The following is a 22,416-nucleotide window of genomic DNA, read 5'->3' as shown; positions in this document are numbered from 1 at the left end:
CACATGCCTGTCTCCCCCATCACTCTCACTGACCCCAGTAGACTAAACTACCCAGCGCACATCTTCACCCTGCCATAGAGCACCCCATCCCACCATGACCGGGATCCCAGGGGCCAGCCCAGGCCACCTCGAGGTGGATCCCAGATTCTGGAGATAACTCACACACACACACACACACACACACACACACCCTCTGTGTGTGTGACAAGAGTGGTGGGTGTGATGGACACACAGGCATACACATGCACGCAGCATGGGGGCTGGAGGCAACAGCCGGTTCCCTGCTTGCTAAAGACTTATTGACCCTGACCCCTCTTTCCTCATTGATCCAGTCAGCCACAGGGTCACTCCATCACTGCCTAGGGCATGGGGTGGAGTGCCCTCCATGCCACAGCAATTACCCTCTGCCACTCTGGGTTTTTTATTTTTAATTTTTTTTTTTTTTTTATAGAGACAGGGCCACACTATGTTGCCCAGGCTGGTCTCGAATTCCTAGCCTCAAGTGATCCACCTGATCAGCCTCCCAAAATGCTGGGATTATAGGTGTAAGCCACCACACCCAATGCCCTGTGCCACTATGGCAACAATTCAATGTCCACCATCTGTCCATTCAAAGGATTGGTCTCTATCGGGAGTTGTGTGTGTGTGTGTGTGTGTGTGTGTGTGTGTGTGTCAGAGAGAGAACAGTGTGTCCATCGCCATTGTATGTGTCCATGATGAGTGCCTGTCTGTGGTCAGTGTGTGTCCACAGTCATTGTGTGTGATGTGATGTTTGTGCAAGGGGTGTGAGGCTAGAGATACACATTCCACTGACCACAAACACATGCTGTATAAAAACATATATATTACCATGGACATACACAAAGACTGTGGACACACACTGAGCATGAACACATGTATGGACCATGGACACACACTGATCACACACAATGGGCGTTTTACAAATGAAACGAGTCTGACTGAGCCTTTCCCACATCCTGCATTGGGTAGGCTTGGAACTGGGTTCTGTGTCGTTTTCCTAGATGGGTAAAAGGAAGCCACTCTCCCTCTCCCCTGCCTCCTCCCTGATAGCACCTCAGGGAAGGGGCTGGCCCAGAGGGGCCTGGTGAGGAATGTCTTGGATCCCCAGCCCTGCGGAGAGGACCCCTTAGCCAGAGTCACCAAGAGGACTCGGCCTGTTTCCATCCCAGCGTCCTGCCTCAGTCTTTTCCACCTACCCTGAGAAGGCCCCAGTTGCAGAAGCCAAAACTGGGCCCAGACTCCAGAGACAGGCCACGCTCAAACACACACACACACTCACAGACACTAACACACACTTGTCCTCAAGGTCCTTCAGAGGAGAGGAGCTGCAGGGAGGTCCGTGGGAGAGCACAGGTGCAGGGCCGTGCACCAGTCCTACGTCTACATAGGCTGGCAGGGACACCTTGTGTCACTGAGGGATTCTGCTGGAACCACAGGAGGCAGGTATCCGAACATCAAATTGCGTGTCTGTGAGTACGTGCATGCTTGTGTGAGCACGAGGCAGTGCTGCGTGCGCGTGTGAGCCGGCGTGGGTCTGGCTATGTGGGCTGGTGCGGCCTCGCACGTTCGCGAGTGTTTTGTGGCTTGGGAGGGTGATCGTGGGCAGCGCGCGTGCGCCCGTGGGCTGGTGCAGACACGGCTGTTGTGGCCTGGGTGTGCGTGTGAGTGTGCACGCCTGCAAAGTGTTGCTGTGGCTGTGGCTCAGCAGGCGCGCCCGCTCCACTCTTTCGCGGCTGCTCCTGCAGGCGGGTCCTCCATTCACCCGGCTGGGAGAAGTCCCGGCCGCCCGCCCGGGGGAGTCTCCGCCCCCTCCGCCCGAGTAAACTTTTCCCAAATCCGAGAGCCGCTTAGGGCGAAGCCGCCCCCGAGGCCTAATCCGCGCCCCCCGCGGATCTGCATAATCGGGTTAGCGGCCGCGCTCCCTCCCGCTCCCGCCGCCGCCGTCGCCGCCGCGCGCGATTCTCTCGCTGTCACTTAGGGAGGCTCAGCGCGATTTGCGGCCTAATCCCCCGGGATCGCTCGGCCGCCGCTCCCCGAGGGGCCGCCAGATTGTTCCCTTCATAATTGATTGACTCTATTTGCCGGATTGGGACTTCAAAGCGCCGGCGGCGCGGGGGCGCCTGGGAAGGAGCGGGGCCCGAGGAGGGCGGGGCGGGGCGGGGGCCTGGCGGGCCTCGCCGGGAGCTGCAGCCCCGCGGCCGCATCGCCCGGCCTGGGAGGCCAGAGCATGAAATGCGCAAGTGACAAGGCGGTGACCACGTCCGGGCCTGGCACTGCGCTCAGAGCTCCCCGGGTCCCCTCTCTGAATCCCCCTCACAACCACCTCAGAGACTGCAGGGTTATGTGATTAGCCCCACTTTCCAGGTGAGGGAACAGGTTCAGAGAGGCCTCTTCCTTCTCCCAGCGCCTTCTGTGTGTCCAGCGCTGTTTGGGGTTCGGCAGATACCCCTGTGAGCCACACCGACCCCGTCTCTGCCTCCGTGGAATTTGACTCTAGTGAAGGAGGCAGGCGACACACAGGAAACAAGAAATAAATGAACGGAAAATAAAGCAAGGTGATGTGGCAGTGACTGTAGGGGAAGGGGAGGTAAATGAGACTGAGTGGTCAAAGATGGCTTCTTAAGGAGGTGCGTTTTGGCTGAAATCTGCATGGCATGAAGGAACCTGCTCTGGGAATGTCTAGAGGACAAGCATTGGGGCAGAGGGTAAAGCATTTTGGGGGGAGCCCTCAGCCAAGGGCACACTATTAGCAAATAGTAATGCAGAGACTGAAACTCAGGGCTGCCTGACTCCAAAGCCCAGAGGCTGAAATGCCACATTTTTTTTTCACTCACCCAGCGTGGACTGATCCCAGCCTCGACACAGGCTAAGCCCTTCACAAAAATGTCCCAGACCCACAGGCACAGGCACCTGTTCAGTTCCACACAGCCCACCCCACTGCTGGCCCTTGTGAGGGTTTATTTTATTTATTTATTTATTTATTTATTTATTTTTGAGACAGGATCTCATTCTGTCACCCAGGCTGGAGTGCAGTAGTGGTGTAATCATGGCTCGCTGCAACCTCAACCTCCCAGGCTGAAGCAATCCTCCCACCTCAGCCTCCTGAGTAACTGGGAGTACAGACAGCTGCCACCATGCCCAGGTAATTTTTTGCTTTTGATTTTTTGTAGAAATGAAGCCTCAACATGTTGCTCAGGCCGGTCTTAACTACTGAGCTCAAGCAATCCTCCTGCCTCAACCCCCCAAAGTGGTAGGATTACAGGCAGGAGCCACTGTGCCCGGCCCCCACTGTGTGGTTCCATATCCCATTGATCTGAGGTTGCCTTAGTGGATGGACAGCCCTTTACTCAGAACCTTCCTGCACCTAGGGCCTGCTGTTTCCCCAACTCCTGAGGAGCCAGGAAAGGGTAGGGGGTAGCTAGAGGGGCCCCACTCCTGCCCAGCCATAGCCAGGCTCCCAGGAATCCCTAGCCTAGACTTGGGAATCCCCAGAAACGCTTAATTAATTCTTGATTACTCACTGTCTCTGCAGCTGCCATTAACTGTCTCCTCAGCCTGGGCCCAGTTAGGCCATGTAATTAAATTAGCACAGCAAGAACACTTCCAGGCGAGAGCAAGGTAGTCCTGCTGGGCCTTGCAGAACTTTTAGGGGGCTGATGAGGAAATCAAGGCTCAGAGACACCAAGGGGAGCACCCAGGGTCACTCACTAGGGCTAGAACAGAGGCCCAACTGTACCTCCCCGGAATTAGTTCTGGCCCCCTCATCCCACCTCTCTTGAGACCTCCACTCTCAGCATGTATTTTAAACCTTAAATGTCTTTAAAACGACGAGAGATTTGCTGCTGTCCTTAATTAAATTTATGCCAATTCACTGAGCTTTTGGAGGGATGGATTTGGGACAGGGGAGGGGAGACCGGGATTTCTATAAGGTGGGAAGCAGAAGACATAGGCTTTGCAGCCTGGAGGCTTTTCCCACTTACAGGATCAAAGAGGTGAGGCAGGGAGAGATGAGGGCAGGATTCTCCTAGCAGGGTGGTGGCAAGGGAGGGAGAAGGGCATTAGAGGCCCTGTCCACAGAGGCTCCCCTGAGTGAAGGGAGGGGAGGAAGTCGCTTTCCTTTTTACAGAGGAAACCAGAGAAAATAGAATCTAGCCTAAAAGAACATCCTAAGGTTGGAAGCATATGCACTATCAGCCAAGGCAGAAGGGGCTGGAGAACTTGGCCTCCCTGTTCAGAGTGAGGAGGGCCTAGCCAGAGTCTCCACCACCCCATCCCACCAGCCAGGCCTCCCTCCCTGCATCCTTCCCTCCCTCAATCCTGGGAGATGCTGGCTGACAGCCCTCCCTCCCCCAAAACCCAGCTCCTTGTCACTTCAGAAAATCAGAAATAAGCCTTAGTGATTAGAGGGAGACGAGAGTGAGATGGGGCTTAGAGGCCCAGGCTCAGGGAGGTGTTAAGAGGCGAGTGGGACTCAGAGTATTAGGGGGGCAGAGCTAATAGCTTCTCTGGCTGCCCTCCCCCGGGGACTGCAGTACCCAAGGGAGGAGGGAGAAGAGGAGGGGAAAGAAAGAATGAGAAGATATGGGGAAGAACGTGTGGAAGGGACAAAGGAGGTGAGGAAAGAGGGGGCTGAAGGAGAGACAGGAGCAAGGTAGGAGGGAGGGAATTGAGGAAGTGGTGAGGCACAAAAGTAAAGGAGAGGTGAAGAGGGAAAGGAGATGAGGAAAAAGAAGTACAAATCAAATGAGATTAAAATAAAAATAGTAATCTTTTTTTTTTTTTTTTTTTGAGATAGCATCTCACTTCATTGTCCAGGCTGGAGTGCAGTGACAAAATCATGGCTCACTGCAACCTCAATCTTTGGCTGAAGCAATCCTCCCAGCCTCCCACCTCAGCCTCCCAAGTAGGTGGTACTACAGGCGTAAGCCATCATGCCCAACTAATTTTTGTATTTTTTGTAGAGACGGGGGTTTCACCATGTTGCCCAGGCTGGTCTTGAACTCCTGAGTTCAAGTGATCCACCCACTGTGGCCTCCCAAAGTGCTGGGATGGCAGGTATGAGAAACTGCACCTGGCCAATATTATTTTAAAAAAGATAATACCAAATACTGATGAAAGTAGGGTGAAATGGAGACTCTTGGGAGTACAAATTGGTACAACCTTGGAGGTTCTGGAGATAAAGGGCAATTATTGATTAATTATTTGGCAATAATTATCAAAATTTTAAATATGCATCCTCTGTAGCCAAATAATTCCAACTCTAGGAATCTGTCCCACAGAAACTCTGACTTCTGCACATAATGTAAGTACAGAGCTGGTCCCTGCAATGATGCTTGTCATTGCCAAACATTAGAAACAACTAAATGTCCATCAAGAAGGGGCTGATTAAATATATCAGAGGGTGTCCAAACCATGGAATACTATGTGTCCAAGGAGAAGGAGGAGGTATAGAAAGATGCAGGAGAGGTACAGAGGGAAAGTAGATGAAGGAAAAGAGAAGTACGAACTAAATAAGATGTCATTGGTTGGTGAAAAGAATAAGTATGGACCGGGCATGGTGGCTCATGCCTGTAATCCGAGTACTTTGAGAGGCCGAGGCAGGCGGATCATTTGAGGTCAGGAGTTTGAGACCAGCCTGGCCAACATGGTGAAACCCCGTCTCTACGAAAAAATACAAAAATTAGCCAGGCATGGTGGGCATGCCTAGGATTCCAGCTACTGGGGAGGCTGAGGCAGGAGAATCGCTTGAACTCCGGAGGCAAAGGCTGCAGTGAGCCAAGATCGCACCACTGCACCTCCAGCCTGGGTGATGGAGCAAGACTCTGTCTCAAAAAAAAAAAAAAAAAGAAAAGAAAAGAAAAGAAAGAAAGAAAAAAGAGTAGGTATGAATAGTTATATGACTATTCATATATAGTGTGATCCCAATTTGAAGATGTTTAAAGAACACTTAAAACTATGTTGAGGGGGGTTGTAAATGTATAGAATCCAACACAGGGAAGGAATGAGAACCCCCAATTACTGACAGCAGGATTTACAGGATGGGAGGTAGAGCGGGATTTAGCTTTTCATTTTCTTTTCTTTTGCATTATGTTTTTATGAGTTTTTGCAAACCCATGTATTGGGTATGTACATTTTAAAACAATGATTGTTTTTAGAGAGGTGTAGGAAAGGGGTCAGGAGAGAAGAATAAGAAGGAAAGAAGGTGGTATAGGGCAGGAGGGAGCGCAGAGGAGAGCAGGCTGGCTGCAACAGGAGTGCTAGTGCATGGGTGGGGGCGTTGGCCAAAGGGCAGGAGTACCACCCAGGCAGTGTCCAAATACATTCCTCAACCCTGTCCCCACCACAGAAAATCTGACTAAGGCCTGAGTAATTGAAGGCTAATTGGGTTTTAGGCTTGTTAATGCTCCTGTGAATGTTTGCACTGAGGAGAGCCAGTCGATCAGATAAATGACTCCCCGTGGGACACAACGGTGGGAGGAAATGCAGAACAAGAAGGGCCTTCTGGATGATGAGCAGGACAGCAGAGTTTTTCAGCCCACTCCAGAGGTGGGGGGTGCTGTGCATGGAGAGCTGAGGAGCCCTTGGACTTCTGTGGGGCAGGGACAGTGAAAGGGAGGGGCTGGTCCAGGTATATTCTGAGGCCAAGCCTAGTTGGGGCAGAGTTCTGGCAGGCAGTAGGGAGGAGACCAGGAGGGAGGCAGGGACTGGCAACCCCAGCCCAAACCCTACAGACTGCAAGGTGAAGGGTCTGGTCTCCAAAGGGAGGGAGGAGATAGGTCTACCAGTGATAGGCACTGGGGGGCTGCCAGGGCCTCTGCCCACACCCAGAGAGAAGGTTATTTGGTTTGCAAAGAGATAGGGTCCCTTTTAGAATGATTTCCTGGGCTGGGCTGGAATAGACCCCTTCATATCCACTGGAGCATCATGCAGTGCCCGGGTCCAAGGCCACAGCCTGCTCTCTCAAATTCCCCTCCACTGAGTCCTTGTTTGTGACCCATCCCTTGGGCTAAAGGGTCTCTGAGGCTCCCCTATCTCTGACCAGCAGGTGTTGTTGGCTTCCGATTGTTAACACCAGAGGAGGCACCCTGAAGGGGTGTCAAGCCCAGGCAGCTAAGGAAGAGAGAGAGGGAGACTCTTAAAGAAAATGGAAGGTTTTGTTTTGTAGAGTTGTTGTTTGGAGGAGTTGTGGGTGTGTTATAGGGGCTAGAAATGCTAGCTCCCCAGGAACCCACAGAGAAGGCCTTCCAGGGGTAATCCTCACCCTCAGTAATCCCCTCATCTCTTCTCCAGGGTCAGAAATACAGGATGTGCTTTGAAAGGATCAGCTGCACATTTGTTTCCTCCTCCTCCTCCTCCTTCTCCTCAGGCTTGACTCGGGGACTAGGGCCCCTGGGACAAGGCAGGGAAACGTTTAATGAGTTTGTATTCCCAGAGAGCACAGTGACTGACAGCCGCCCTGGGGGTCACTGTTCTTCTTGTGTCCTGGAAGAGGATGCCGCAGCTGTGGGGCGGGCTCTGTGTGTCCCTGTGAGTGCCCGCCTGTACCCCTGTGCATGTACACCTGGAGCGGGGCTACAGAGGGACTTCCCAGGACCGCCCTGCCTGTGAAGAGACGCTGCTGCCAGTATCTGGGAAAAGGGGAAGAACTTGGGGGACTGCTGTCCTTTGGGCAGTGGGGTCCCTGTGGTCTGAGCCACAAGCCTCAGCCCTCCACCTGGTCTCCTCAGGTAACCCTCCGCACACGCTACTTGGGGCAGGTTGGTGGGAGGGAAGCCTGAGGCTGCCCACAGTGGGGTTTGGAGGAATCGGGGGACATGGTCGATGTGGAGGCCTGAGTCTGCATGGGTAATGAGACCAGGGACTGGCTTGTCAATAGCATTTAAGTACTTTTCTCCCATTTTCAGGCCAGACTGAATTATTTATTCGTTTCTAGTCAATCGCTGGTAATGTCATTAGCATTTGTCCATCAAAGGTAGGGAACAGAGTGGGAGTGGTCCCCCTCCACTGACCCCACATCCCAAACTGACTCTCAAAGGTCAATCCATCCCCTTCCCTGCCCCTGCTCTCAAGTTACCCTGGGACCAGCATTTTTCAGAGGCCCTGCATGCAGGAAGGTCTCCATCCCCACAGAGCTTCAACCCTGATGGCACCAAGGAGCCAGCTATTCTCCAACACCCTCTCTAGTTATTCTCCAATGCCCTCCCATTATTAACACATAGACCCATTCCCCCAGTGCAGGCATCACACTGGCTGCCTGCTTGAAGAGCCAGCCAAGGCTGGCAAGCGAAGACCCAGCTGATGGTGGGGCCAGGGACCCAGTAGAGCAGGCAGTTTGGGTTGGCACCGGCCTCTTCTCTTGGTCTAGAGGCCAGCCTGCACCCTCAGACTCAGCTCTCATTATAGAGTCCTTCCTCCCTGCTCAGAGCAGGGTCCCAAGTCAGACTTCTGCCTCTCCTCTCAAGCCAGACTCATGGGGAGTTGAAGGGAGGCACGATTTGTTTCCACTCTCAGATGAAGCTCCCATTCCTTAATCAGCTCCCCAGACAGAATCTGCCTCCCCCTTGAGGCCAGGATCCCAGACTGGCTTTCCAAGGCAGCACCTCTCTCCCTTCTCAGCCCATGGGGCTGCTACCTACACCACTAAAACTAAAGGAGCCCTGAGGAGGATTAATCCCCAGGGAAGGGACTGCTGGTCCTCACTCAATATCCAGGTCAGAAGTTCCTAATCCAGACCCTTCCCTGATCAATCTAATCTTCCATCCTCGAACCTGGGACTTAAGAAAGTGAAAGGTGAGATTTCTTGCAGAGATCAGGAAGGGAGTGTGCAGTGGGGTCTTTGGAATGCTCTGGGGAACAATGGCCTGGTGAGGCAGTAGGGACACCGCAACAGCCAGAGGGAGAGGTTGAACTGGGCTGCCCTTGCAACAGTGGCCTTGGCCAGTCTCACATCCCATTCTGCTGCTGGGATGGCCTTTCAGAGATGTCCCAGATTGAAGTGGGGAGGCCAGACTCCCGCATTGACCAGTCGCCTGTGGACTGCCCCCAACAAGGGGACATAACCTTGGGAGAGGCAGCTGAGGACACTTCCCCGGGAAGGAACTCAACCGTGAGGCCACAGCGGCCAACACTCCCAGCACTGCAGGAATGTCTCGGCCCTCAAGGGCAATCTGGGCAGCACCACAGCATCCACTGCAGACTTTCTGGGCAGAGGGATGAATGGGCCCTAGCGATGGCTCGGTTCATGGAGATGTAGGTGGTAATGAATGTTGGTGGACATGGCTAGATGGGGCAGTTTTGGTGGGCACAGCAGCATGAGAAGTTTTGAGGTTATGTGGAGGGCTGGGGCTCTGTGGAGGACAAGGCAGAGCAGGATGGCTTGGAGGGACACGAGACAAAAAGTTTGGAGGACAGAGGGAGTGGATGGGTGTTCATGCTGCTCCTGTTGGGCCTGGGCAGCCCAAGTGGATGGGAAGAAGCCCCCGTCAGCATGACAGCTCCTCAGTCGCTAAGCAGGATTAGCCTCCTCTTCCTCAGAGGGAGGGGCTCCGCTCCTGCATCAGCCACCAGCTCTGGCCCTAATCCCCCTCGATTTCTAATCCACCCACGACTTTCTTAGGCATTAGCGCTGGGCTCTCAGCTCCCTAAGCCCCACCCTGAAGATGGGAGCCGGGCTCTGAAGGGAATTAGGCCAGCTTCAGAGGATGGCTTGCCAGACAACTGGAGGAAGGCTGAGAGCACCACCCACCCTTCAGCCTTTCCTCCTCTGTGGCTCACCCCCACCCCCAGCCAGGGACCAGGGTCCCAGAAGGATCCCTACCAGCTCCCTGCTAGGACCAGGTGAGGACGGGGCAGAGGGGGCTGAAGAGGAAGAGGCTCCCCACCTCTCAGGCCGATGCTGAATCTAGAGGGGGTGCTAGGCAAGGATACAAGGGTAACCCACAGCTTGGCAAAGGCAGACAGAGTGGAGCTCAGGAGAGTGTGCCAGGAGAGAAACCAGAAGGCAAACTGAGGCCAGATTGTGTAGGGCCTTGAATGCCAGCTGAGGGATTTGGCTCTCCCCTGGGGATGCTGAGGAGTCATGGTGGGATTCAGAGCAGTTGGTCTGGTGCCTGTGAAGCCTGGCTGGGGTGGGCTGCAAAGGAGGAAGGGCAAAGGAGTGGGTGGCACTCTCCAGCTCCCTCTGGTTGTCTGGCAAGCCGTCCTCTGAGGCAGGCAGAGGCTGGGGTGAGGCTCTTGCTGTGATGTCAGCAACGGCAATGGGACCCCGAGAGAACACCCAGCACCAGCTCCCAGGCAGCCAAGCAGCACAACACCCTGTGTGGCAGCAGGGACAGGTGCAGCCTGAGCCTGGGGGATGGGGGCATCAACGTGCACCTGTGAGGGAGCAGAGCTGGGGGCACCTAGGGAAAGGTAAGGTAGGGCAACAGCCCATTACCTCTCAGCAGCTGCCCTCCAGAGCCTCATAATCATCTATTATTCCAACTACTAAGAACAGGCAGCAAGAGCCTGGCTGCAGTACGGGATGGGAAGGAGTGGCCTGGGAGCGGGACCCTCACCTGCCCAAGACACCCCTTCCCAGAGTTGGGAGACCCATCAGCCCCACTCCAGGCCCTGAGAGTGGCCATGAGCTTCTTTCCTATTAGAGGTGTCCAGGCATGGAGCTGGGAAGGCAGGGGAAGGTGCCAGTCTAGAGGTGTCCAGGTCCCAAGCACCAGGAAGGGCCTGTGGTCTGTTCATGAGCTGCTTCCTGGGAAAATCTGGCATCTTTCTCTCCCCTTCAGCCCCATCCCTTCCTACCCCCACCCCCCAGGCTAAGTTGTCTGCAGATATTGCAGGGGTGGTTATGAGTATTCATTAAGCCAAATACTTACTAAAATTCTCCTTACCCTAACCCTTGCCCTGGGCAACTGTTGTTCACCCATTTTTTACAGATGAAATAAACAAAGTTCAAAGGGAAGTCACTTTTTCTAGACCCACACAGCTGGTGACAGCACTGAAACCAGGGAGGCAGAAAGGAAGACAATCATTTACAATCTAGGAAGGCAGAGTAGTACAGTGGTTACAAGTGTGACTGTTGGAGTCTGATGGATTGGGGTTCAATTCCGCACTCCACCTGCCTCTTTCTAGCCAGGCAACCTCCCTGAGCCCCAAGTTTCTCATTCGTGAGTTAATCATGCCAACTCACAGGACCCCTACAGCGTGGGCCTTGTAGGAGAATAGAAACACTGTGATCCAGTGAGATCTCTGGGGGAATGGTTGCTGTTGTCACTACCCAAGGCCACTGAGTGGACAGGCAGAGAAGCAGGGCCTGGTTCCCAGCTCTGTCTGCTTCCAAAGCCCTCAGATGCCCCTTCCCAGAGGTGGTGGTAGGCAGCTGGGGTCCCCAGACTCCGTGAGGGGTTGGGCAGTAGGGCAGATGAGTCAGGGTATTGAGCGGGTGGTGGGATGCTAAGAGGCTGAGAGGTTCATCATGACAGGTCCGTTAGGCCATCCCAGCAGAGCCCTCTCATTGGGCCTCGCTAATGAGCCTCCACTGGATTATCCACTCCCACCTTTGCTCCGTTTACTCTGTCAAATCGAGTTTGCATTTTAAATGCGAATTTGACAAGACGGGCAATTTGTCTGCTGACGAGGTTAATGGGTGTTAGCCCTGCGGACTAGGGAGGGAGAACCCATGCCCCTGCACAGTCTGGCCTCTGCTCAGATCAATGACCCCGGCTGCTGCTCCTCTCTACTCTGCAGCCACTCTGGGCCTCTGTGTATCCAGAGGTTGTCCCTGTGTCTAGCTCACCACCTCCAGGCAGCCTTCCCAAAAGCACCCTGACCTGGGCCACCTCAATTAGTCAGGCTGGGTGATGTCCCCTCCACCTGAATGCAGATAGGATTCCTGAGGGGTGGGCCATGTCACCCCCTCTCAGAGGAGGGGCCTCCTGTCTCAGCCCAGGCTTCTAGGGCAGGGCCAGATTTTCCCTGAGTTGGGCTCCCAAGGGCTGGGGTGTCTTCCCTCCTGCTTCCCTCTACTCCTCGCTCCCATATGGAACTTGGAAGGGGGCCAGCAGAGCTGGTGTTGCCACATCCTGAGTTTCAGTGCTGGGATGCGGACTGGTTGGCAAGAAAAGGTTTTAAATCCATCAACTCCAAGCCAGCGCCTTTGTGGAGCAACTCCCAATGTTGGGGCTTACAGGAGAGCTGGGGAACCACCTGAGACTTCCTGATGAGGCCCGAGTTGACCTCTTCCACATGGGTTCCTTCCCAAGATCCTCTCCCTCAAGAATGAGCAAGAATCCAGAACCCAGGGGCTGGACCAGGCCAGGATGGGTTGTGGCTATAGAAGAAGACGCCTTGGCCTCCCCCTCCTCCCCGGGGCCCAGCGCCCTTCCCCGCCCCGGCTAATGTGCCACAATTACCTCCTAAGTGCCCAAACAAATGTGGCTGCTGGGGAAAGTGACACGGGCTCCAGGTGATGGATTCGTGCCATCGGGGAGCCGGGCGGAGCGGGCTCCGAAAGGGGGGGCAACACTAATATTGTATCAGCGTCGGCGCCGGCGCCACGAGCTGGTGATGAATATGTGTCACTTTACACGGCGCACACTCGGGGGCCTGGCTGCGCAGGCATGGAAAATAGAGTGTCTGGGATTAATGATATTGAAAATGATAGAGAGCAGATTGGAAATGGCTTCGCCCGCCCGACCCGCAGAGATGGAAACGTACCTCACAGCTATCTGCCCAGGCCTGGCCCCCCACCTGCCCCCCTTCACCTTCCACAAGCTGCAGAGGCCCACAATGAGGACCCTGAGTCTTGGTCCTGCCAGGGGCTCCTGAGGGTGGCACACACTGGGGTGGGTACACCTGTAAGCAGAGACACAGAAAGCAAGAAAACCTCAGCCCCAACTCACCTTTGACCTTGGTCCCAGATGAGCCTGACCCCAGCCACCCAGTGAACGTTGGCCTTGTCCACAGACCAAGCCCTGACCCCAGTTCCAGCCGAGCCCTGCCTCTGGCCACAGAGTGAGTCTGCAGAAGCTTGAGTCTCTCACAAGACCATGAGGGCACGGGTAGAGGAGGGGGGTCAGGGGTGGGGGTGGGTGGTTGTAGAGGGGAGGCTGGAGAACATGGACCCCTCAGTGTAATGCACCCCACTGCCAGAGGGGAGATCCAAGCCCAGTCTGTTACTCCATGGTGTGGACGCCCCAGCAAACAAGCAGGTGAACAGGTGTCTTCTCCATTGATGTCATTCTAAGTGTTTATGTTGGGTTTTTGACTGTGTCTGCACACATACGTACATGCTTGCAGGTATGTGTACATGTATGTGTACATCTGCTCACAAATACACCTGTGGGGTTGTGTCTGGCATGTGCAGGAATGTACATAACTGGGTTTGTCACTTTGTGTGCCTAGGTGTGTGTACAGCATCTCTGAGGACTGTATGTGTGTGAGTGTGGCTTGCCTGAGGCCACTCTGTGCATGGAGATGCCTGTGGTGAGCACACATGTGTGTCTGTGTGTGTGAGTTTGTGTCTGTATGTTTACCCACAGATGAAGGGACTCCAGAGTGTGGCCGTTAGTTAAGAAAAACTCTCTTTTATGAGGCCTGACCCTGGTCATAGGCTAAATTCCCAACATCAGGGCAAGATGCCTTTCCCTGTTGGAATAGATCCTATCACACTGGAATTTTATCAAATTTCCCAGACGGACAGCAACCCTGAGACCACCAGTCCAACCTCAACATCCATCCCAACATCAGTCCCCATCCAAACCAAGGTCAGAGGATGCACCTACATCAACATCATCATTCAGTCAACAGACACTCCTTGAAGGCTCATAACATGGCAGGTGCCATCTCTGGTGAGCAGAACAAACACAGCTCCTGACCTCATGGAGGTACAGCCCATCAGAGGAGTCTGACACTGAGCAAGTACACAGATGAGGAAACACAATGACAGTGTGCAAAAAGGGCCACAAAACAGGTGTTCAGAAGACCATGATAGAGATTCATGGAATGACCTGGCATTTGATCAGGGTCGGCTCCTCTGTGCAGTGACATTTGAGCTGAGGAATGAGGAGCCAGCTCTGTGGGAAAAGGGGAACAGAAAGAGCGGAGACACTGGAGGTATTCTTGGTCTTGTCAGGAGACAGAGGTCCATGGAGAAACAGGAGGAGAGGCTGGGGCCAGCAGGGGCTTCGGTTTTGTTCACCATGGGAGGTAGAGCCACCGGAGGGGTTAAGCAGGAGAGTGTCATGATCATATTTGCATCGTTTTGCTTTCATTTATTTATTTAGAGATGGGGTCTTGCTCTGTCACCCAGGCTGGAGTGCAGTGGCTACTCACAGGTGCAATCATAGTTCACCGCAGCCTGGAACTCCTGGGCTCAAGCCGATCTTCCTGCCTCAGGAAGATCACTCTGTTAGGTGGAGGAACACTTGGAGGTATGGATAACAGAAGCTGGTAAACCTTTCTGGAAGTTCTGGTATCCACACCAGGCCTAGGGTTCATACCCTCCCAGCAATAGCAGCAGTGTGCATATATCACAGCCATCACTAATACCACCAGCTGGTGCTTCCCAGACGCATCTCGGAGGCCTGGGGTTCCCTGTCCACTTTCTCCCAGTCCTGCTACTTTACTCCTGCCTGGGAGAGTGACCCTTCCTCAGCTCCACTCTCTGTCGCATGGGGTTACCTGGAAATGCTCTCTCCCCAGACCACCTGGATCTTCCCAGCTCTGCTCTGCTCTGCTCTCATCCAAAGAACCAGTCCTGCAAAAGCTAGGAGTTCCTATGAAGATAGGAGAGAAGAAGGGAGCTTCAACCTGGTGGTGAGAAGCCCTGGTCTGAGCAGAGAGTCCCTTGTGCCCAGAGTCCTTTTCTGGAGAAAGAGGCACAGCTCCCAGGGCAGCCCCACCCCCAGCTGTAGGAACTCTGAACACACCTGACAGTGTCCCCACAGGGTCCTATTGCACTGCACAGCAGTGTCGCCTCGGGGTCCTATTGCACTGAACAGCAGTGTCCCCAAGGGGTCCTATTGCACTGCACAGCAGTGTCCCCACGGGGTCCTATTGCACTGCAGAGCAGAGGGCCGGCCTCCTGAAATGAGAAAATACCAGCACAGGGCTGGCACAAGGGTGGTGCACAGGAAATGTGAGTGGAGGGGAAGGACAGAGTCCCATAATGGGTGCAGGCAGACCTGGGTGACCTGACTCCACCCCAGGCTCAGCACCAGCTCCCAATCCTACCCTGTTGCCTGCAGCCCAGGGCAGGCAGGCTCCCTGTTGGCAGTGACCTCTGCATTTGGAGGAGGATGAGGGGCTGAGCCCTACCCCGGGCTGCCTCTCTCCCTCTCTGCTTCTGTCTCTTTCTGCTCGCTTGCTTTCTCTCTCAATCTCTCTCAATCTCTCTTCATCTCTGCTCCTTTCTCTCCCTCCTTCCCTGCCTCTCTCTCCCTGAGTCATTTGCAGAGCGGAGATGGCCTAGCCCATCTGGGAGCGAGAGCGCGGCCCGGTGACGGAGGCGCAGGTAATAGCCGAGTGGAGGAGAGAGACGTGGAAATTTATGACATTGAAAATGACTGAGAGAGAGCGTGTATGTGAGTATGGGAGGAGGAGAGGGCAGGAGGGGCGGGAAGGGAGAGGGAGGGAGCTCGCGTGTGCTCTCACCACACTCACGGCCCTACCCCTCCCTCCAAGGGAGACCAACCTTGTGGAGAGGAGAGGACATGGGGGAGTGGGAGGAAGCAGCCAGACCAGAGACAAAGGCAGACAGACAGACAGACAGATGACAGATGGTAGGACAGGGATGGCAGGTGGAAGGCGGGGAGGGAGAGGAGCAGGTGAGCCCAGGACACAGAGCAAGGCTGAGAACCACTGTGGAGAGACACCCAGAGTGTCTGGCTTTTCCCTGCCCTGGCCCCCTCTCAGGAGCTCTGCTCTGAGGGGAGGATGTCCCTGTGGCATATGGTAGCATGGAAGCTAGAGTCTGAGCTGGAGATTTTCTAAAGCGGGAGGCCCAGAGGAGGCCAGGCATGCTCCAGGTTGCATAGCAGGTCAGTGACCACATGGGGCCTGAACCTAGAACTTCCTCCCAGCTTAGGCTCCGTGTCCCACAGGTGCTGGGGTATGGGGAGCCAGGAGGTAAAGGAGCTAGATCTTGTAGCCATCTGCCCCTCCAACAGCTCTTCCCTCTGGACCATGGGAGGCAGGGGAATGGCCAGAATGACCTCTCCATATCCTCTGGTAGTCAGAAGAGAATCTGTTTCCTTGGGGTGCTAAGCCCATAATCCTCTCTTCCATAGCCACCATCAGACCACCTGGGACTCTGTTGCTGAGGACATGAATAATTAGACATCCTCCAGAATGCTGAGCCCCTCACCTCCACCCATGGCCACCCAGGCCCACAGACGATACTCCACCCCCAGCCCCACTCTGCTTCCTCTTGTCTCTCATGCTGCTGAGTCCCCACCCCACCCCAGTCACCATCCCTTGCCCTGGGACTCCATTCTTTGTTAAGATCTCCTCCCTTTCTGGGCCTCAGTTGCCTCATCTGTAAAATGGGAATAACAATGCCTTTCTATGCCCATCATCCTGGAGCTGGAGAAGCAATGCCAGGACTCAGAGGGTAGACCTCAGTCTCCTCAAGTCTCAGAATTCTTCATTGGACCATGGGGGTCATCTTAACTCCAGAGGAGTTGTCAGTAGTTGTGGCCGATTTTGTGGGTGATGTTAAAGGAAACAAGACTCCCAGGCATCCCAATATATATACACACCCAGCCATCTCCCAAGGAAGCTGGTATATCAAGTAGTCAAGAGGTAGAATCCTCCAAGCCCAGGTGCAGGAGAAGGTTGAGTCCTAAATATGAGGGGTGCTCTGTCCCAAGCATACAGCTGAGGAGGTCTGAGCCAGGCCCTAGTCCTCTAGCCCAGGCTCTGGCAATACAGGTGGCTTCCAGCTCTTAGAGACCTTACCCCCTACTCCCAGCAACATGGGGCCTGACTGAACAGTTGTCCAAGTTTCCCTGACTGGAAAGCAAAAGAGGTTACTCCCTACTCCACATCCCTGCCCACTTCTCCCGATCAGCCTTCCACAGGGGGCCCCCTCTCCTCCCCTCTCTTTACTTCCCTCTCCTGCTCCATAGCACTCTGGAAAACTTTCTTTGATTAACCTCTCCCAGCCAAGAGCATTCAAAGAGGCTGTATAGTGCAGTGGTTGAAAGCACCAGCTTTGGGGCCAGAAAAGCCCCAAATCACAGCTCTGCCCTTTGGCTGGGTGATCTTGGGCTCTTCATTTAATGTCTCTGAGCCTTATTTCCTCATCCTCATCTGGCAAATGAAGCCATAAATGCCTGGGTCTAGGATTGTGTGACGATCACATGAAGTCATGAATGCAAAGTGACTGGCATAGAGGAGATGCTCAGCAAATGCCAGCTGCCATCTCCCCCCAACCCCATGCTACATCTAACTGTGTCTCAGTTTTCTGCTGCACTTAGAGGATAAGGATGAGAGCTGAGGGTGGGGAGAGAAGGAAGAGCAGCAGCAGTAGCAGCTTCAGGAGGCTCCTGATCACTTAGAAGAGATGAAGGCTGAGCTACAGTAGGAGAGACTCAGGTTAACCCTGAGAGGGACTTCCCATACTGAGACCCTGGAGGAAGCCACATTTCAAAGGCCCCGCGTAAGTTCAGTCTGTTCCCAGGACCATATCCTTATCCTAGAGGCAGCTCCGAGGAGGCAGCAGCTGCCCTGTCTGGGGAGCAGTGGGGGAGGTGAAGAGTTCACTGGGCTCCGGGGCTGTGGGCTGCAGGCCTCCCACCCAGCCCTGGTGCCCTGGCCTGGCCCACTGTGGCCACATAAAAGGTGACGGATGGTTAATAGGGGAGATAACAGGATTCATAAGGGAAATTTATCGGTCACTCTGGTGGTATAAATATGTTTATAGCGGACCAAGGGGAAATGAAGAAGCCCCAATAAATCACCATGAAGCCACCAGCCACTAATAGGCAAGCAGCAGTGGGAACCCCAGTGTTGGCGATTGCAGACACCCCCTCTGGCTGCCCGCTAATGGCATGGCGGGGCTGGAGACTCATCAAGCTGGACAGACGCCCACCCCACGCCATGGCAGGAACAAGACCCCAGGGGCCACCTCTGCTGGACCTGAGCTGCCCTGCCTGCTGTGCAGCCCCCACTTCCCCCAGTCTGGACTCAGCCAGGCTGGAAGGGCTGAGGGAACAGGGCAGGGGGTATATGGACCAGGTCTAGGAGGCTTCATGGTGCACAGGTTAAAGAGACTCTGGAGTAAGAACTGGCTTCAAAACTTTATCTGCCATTTCCCAATCCCTGCCTGTCTTAGAATTTCCTTGTTTGCAAAATGACTTAGCAATCTTAGAAAGAAGCTGTTGTGAAGAGTAGAGAGATAATCCATTATCATAGTGCTTGGTATTTTGTAGCCTCAAAAATGGCACCTCAGCCTCCTGAGTAGCTGGGACCACAGGCATGAACCACCACGCCCAGCTAGTTTTTTTTATAGAGACAAAGTCTGTTGCTCCTGAGCTCAAAAGTGCCAGGATTACAGGCGTGAGGCACCTCCCCTGGCCAGCAACATTTCATAGATGAGGAACCTGAGGCTCAGAAGTTGAGGCTTGCCTGGGATCCCACAGCTAGAAGAGAAAGGCTCTGTTTGATTCCCAAGATGAGAATCTTCTCACTGCCCCAGTGTAGGCCCCATTCCTTCCTCAAAGTCACTGGGGGTTCCCTGAACCTCTTCCCCCAGAAGAGACCTAGGATTTCAGGGGCCGTGAAGCATTCAAATCAAAGCCCCGGGGCTCTTGCGGTGACTTGCTGGTGCTGATGACAACTCTCCATCTACCCCTTCCCTCCCTGCCCCTGCTACTTCCTGTACCCGTCTCCCCAAGCAAGGGCTGGACTCAGCTTCTGTGACCTCACCCCAGTACTGTGGTTGCCTAAAGCCTTCCATCTGATCTGTATGGGAGGCCCATATCTGGGCTCACCAGCCCTGCCATCTTTGTCACAGCCTCTGTCCAGGCCAATGTGTCCTCCAGCTCAGCTTACTCCTTCATTCATTTTTTCAGGAAACATTCAAGGACCTTCTTCCAAGGGCACAATACTGAGCAACATGGACAAGGTCTGGCCCTATGGTAAAGTCAGGTCTGGATCATGGAATTGAATGGGGTGTGTTGCCAGGTATCGTGGGACTCATGCCTGTAATCCCAACACTGGGAGGTTGAGGTGGGAGGGTTGCTTGAGGCCAGGAGTTCCAGACCAGGCTGGACAACACAGCAAGACCCATGTCTACAAAAAATTTAAAAAATTAGGAGGGCATGGTGGCATGTGCCTACAGTCCCAGCTACTTGGGAGACAGAGGTGGGAGGATCACTTTAGCCCAGGAGGTTAGGGCAGCAGTGAGCTATGATTGCACTACTGCACTCCAGCCTGGGTGACAGAGTGAGGCCCTGTCACTAATAATAATAATAATAATGAGTGTATTGTGTTGAGGCTAAGGTAGCACAGAGGCTGGGGAGGGCAGGAATCACAGAATGAGTAGAGGGAAGGCAGGAAAAGCATTTCCAGAGGAGGGAACAGCTTGAGCGGGTGGGGAGGAAGCAGGACTTCCTGGGCCCACTGAGGCTGGCTGGTCTCCCGGTTTCTCTCTCAATGCTGAAAGGCTGCGCATCATCTCCTACATAAGCTCCACATCACTTTGTCCCTATCCTCAAGCCCTCCTCCCTTTACTCGTGGTCATGCTGTCCAACCATCGTTCTTACCTCCACCCTGGACAAAGCCGCGGCCTCCTCCCCAGTTTCCTGCCAGGACGGCCGGTCCCTCTGCAAACTACGCCCAGCCCAGCGCTGCCTGAGCCCCAGATCTAACCCCAAACCCCTAGTCTAGGGGACTCCCTGCCCAGTGCCACAGTCAGCAGTGCGGAGGGCCTGCGTCCTTACACAAATGCCAATGGAAGGGGAACAGGGCCTTGGAGGTCCTGAGACCCCACCTCTCCTCGCCTGCTCGGGGGAGAAGAGGAACTGAGCCGCCTTGGCTCCCGTCCGGCCCTCCGCGCGTCTCGCTGAATCTCGGTCTCTCCCCGCCTCTCCTTCGTGTCCCAGACTCTCCAGTCCCTGCCTCTCCGGCTCTCTCCCGGTCTCGGGCTCCGTTTCTCCGTCTCTCTCCCTCCCGAGGCCCCCTCCCCAGCCGGGCGGGGTAGATCGCTCCGTAAATAGGCGGATGGCCCGGGGCGCTGCGAGCGCAGACACTCGTTTTTAGAGCCGGTAATTGACTCCTTTCAGTTGATAATTCATGGCTTGCATATGCGCTTTAATGCGGGCGCCCCGGGAGGCGCGGCAGGCGGGGCGGGAGCGGGGCGCGGGCCTGCGCGGCCGCCCGTCCATCCGTCCGTCCGTGTCCGCGGGAGACGTGGGCGCTCCCACCCGGGCTGCCTGCCCAGCGCTCCCGAGGCCGCGCGCGGCGGAAGGGGCTTGAGCTGGGCCGGACGCAAAGGCCGGGCGGTCCCTGGGCGGCGCAGGGCCTACTGGCTGGTCCTTCGAACTGAATGCGGGCGGGGGCATGTGGGCACCCCTTCCCTATGCAGCCAAAGGGGAAACTGAGGTTCAAAAAGGCGATAGGTCTTAGGCAGAAACGAGATCAGAATTCAAGACCCCCTTCCCGTAACGTCCTAGTCAGGGCCCTTAGTCCCAGCTTTTCTAGAGCCCCTCACCCTGGGAATGCTCCTGTTTCTCAGCTAAATTCCTCCGCTGGAGTGACCCACCCTGTTGCTCTCTCACAGGCACCCGCATGAGGGGCTGGCTCCTCCCCGTGAATTCTGGGCACAGACACCCAGACCTGAGCAGGCCCCTCACCCCACAGCGACTGGGGAGCCGGAGCCCGAGTCCCTCCCACCTGCTCCCTCGGTTTCTGAGGGTCTGTCTCATCCTGCAGCTGGACAGACGTGATCTTCAGCCCCAAGTTACAGACGCTTAGAGAAGCTGGAGACTTGCACAATGTCTCAGAGGAAAGAGAGCCAGAACCTGGACCCGTGTTGTACCCCAACCAAACCCTCCATGGTGGAAGGAATAGGAGTGGGAAGGGGAGGAGGAGACATATGGTCCAGGAGGTTCCATATGTACCCACACATGGACCTCAAAGAGGCCCCCACAGCAAGACAGCAAATGACATCCACAGTCACAGATCACGGAGTGATTTCAGATGAAGATGGTGCTGGCAGGTAGTTGTCACGAGTCAGAGGTTAGGGGTCAGCACTGGAGCTGGCGCTGGAGGTGGGGAGGTTGATGACTCCAAACATCAGCTCAGGAGATACTAGAGAAAGCCCAAGCCGAAAAGAAGTCTGCGCCTAGCATAGGGCTTCCCATTTATTCAGTCCTTCGAGCTGGTATCTGCCACCACTTTTCCCCAGGCTAATTCCAGCCAAAATAGAATTCTACCTCCATCTTAAAATCTGCAAATATTTAACCTAAAGCCAAAGTGCCTGCTAATTCCTGCATCCCTCTATCTCTGTCCTTCCACTCGCTAGTTTCCCCATCAGCGCAATGGAGTTTGAGCAAAGGATCTCACTGGAGAAGTCGCAGCGACAGTGGATCTAAGAGCAGAGGGCAAGGGCTGCCTGAGCCTTGTGAAGCTCAATTCTGCCCCCTGGTGCCCAGAATGCCGCGCCAGCAATGGGATGCAGGAAGAAGAGGCAGGAGACACCTGAGGTCTCTTACCTTTTCCAAGCTACTCAGACCTCCCTCTTACAGGGCAGGGAACACAGGGCACCAGCCCTACTAACCCAATCTGAGGGGAAACTCTGAGGCTCCCTCTCCTGCAGAGATCTCAGACTCTGTGGTAGAGTTGGTGTGGGGGGACACGTGACGTCAGCAATAGCCCTGTCCATCCAGCACCTGGACACCCCGAGTGGTTCCTTCTATGGGAGGCAGAGGCAGGGCTGCCCCCTCTGCTGTGCAATTCCTGGGGTCTTCATCTGAGTTAAATTCTTTTAAGTCAGGATTTTTCTGGCTGAAATTTCACATTTGTGTTCAGTGGGAGTACTCAAAAAATGTAGCATGCATGGATGAATTCCATCCCTTTGCATTGTCTTCAGAAGATCTGTCCTATGAAGCACAGGGAAAAGTGAGTTCGTTAATTTGCATAGTTGGCGGAAGTAGGGCTACAAAGAGGAATGGGATGGGGGAAGGGAGAGATTTGATGGGAGGAGGATCTCAAGAGAGTTCAGATGAAGGGAAAATAATGGGGGGGGTATGTTGGAGGGATCAAGAAAGGCTTTCTGGAGGAAGTGGTATTTGACACAGGGTTTGAAGGACACAGAAAGCAGCAATGGTGTTCAGGTGGAGGGAACAATCTGAATAGCGACATGGAGCCAGAAGCATAAGGTGGGCTTGTGCTGGT

General features: G+C 54.5%; 1 long non-coding RNA gene across 1 annotated transcript, besides 5 other annotated features; it reads left to right on the top strand.

Moving 5' to 3' along the window:
• Nucleotides 843–1,559: an enhancer, noted in NCBI's record as "H3K27ac-H3K4me1 hESC enhancer chr1:46932803-46933519 (GRCh37/hg19 assembly coordinates)". NCBI's record gives its function as "activates a minimal SCP1, AML or CMV promoter by ChIP-STARR-seq in primed H9 embryonic stem cells {active_cell/tissue: H9 hESC(primed)}" and the evidence as "EXISTENCE:reporter gene assay evidence [ECO:0000049][PMID:30033119]".
• Nucleotides 1,560–2,276: an enhancer, noted in NCBI's record as "NANOG-H3K27ac-H3K4me1 hESC enhancer chr1:46932086-46932802 (GRCh37/hg19 assembly coordinates)". NCBI's record gives its function as "activates a minimal SCP1, AML or CMV promoter by ChIP-STARR-seq in naive H9 embryonic stem cells {active_cell/tissue: H9 hESC(naive)}" and the evidence as "EXISTENCE:reporter gene assay evidence [ECO:0000049][PMID:30033119]".
• Nucleotides 9,858–10,725: an enhancer, noted in NCBI's record as "H3K4me1 hESC enhancer chr1:46923637-46924504 (GRCh37/hg19 assembly coordinates)". NCBI's record gives its function as "activates a minimal SCP1, AML or CMV promoter by ChIP-STARR-seq in naive and primed H9 embryonic stem cells {active_cell/tissue: H9 hESC(naive and primed)}" and the evidence as "EXISTENCE:reporter gene assay evidence [ECO:0000049][PMID:30033119]".
• Nucleotides 18,986–22,017, top strand: LINC01398 (long intergenic non-protein coding RNA 1398). Its single transcript, NR_121680.1, has 3 exons — nt 18,986–19,203; nt 20,801–21,238; nt 21,545–22,017. It is a non-coding gene; the product is annotated as a long intergenic non-protein coding RNA 1398 (long non-coding RNA).
• Nucleotides 19,846–20,359: an enhancer, noted in NCBI's record as "NANOG-H3K27ac-H3K4me1 hESC enhancer chr1:46914003-46914516 (GRCh37/hg19 assembly coordinates)". NCBI's record gives its function as "activates a minimal SCP1, AML or CMV promoter by ChIP-STARR-seq in naive H9 embryonic stem cells {active_cell/tissue: H9 hESC(naive)}" and the evidence as "EXISTENCE:reporter gene assay evidence [ECO:0000049][PMID:30033119]".
• Nucleotides 20,360–20,871: an enhancer, noted in NCBI's record as "NANOG-H3K27ac-H3K4me1 hESC enhancer chr1:46913491-46914002 (GRCh37/hg19 assembly coordinates)". NCBI's record gives its function as "activates a minimal SCP1, AML or CMV promoter by ChIP-STARR-seq in naive H9 embryonic stem cells {active_cell/tissue: H9 hESC(naive)}" and the evidence as "EXISTENCE:reporter gene assay evidence [ECO:0000049][PMID:30033119]".
• Nucleotides 22,018–22,416: the final 399 nt, after the last annotated feature.

Source organism: Homo sapiens, chromosome 1 (assembly GCF_000001405.40).
Source record: "Homo sapiens chromosome 1, GRCh38.p14 Primary Assembly".
NCBI classification, from domain to species: Eukaryota; Metazoa; Chordata; class Mammalia; order Primates; family Hominidae; genus Homo; species Homo sapiens.
This window is presented reverse-complemented; position numbering and strand designations above follow the sequence as displayed.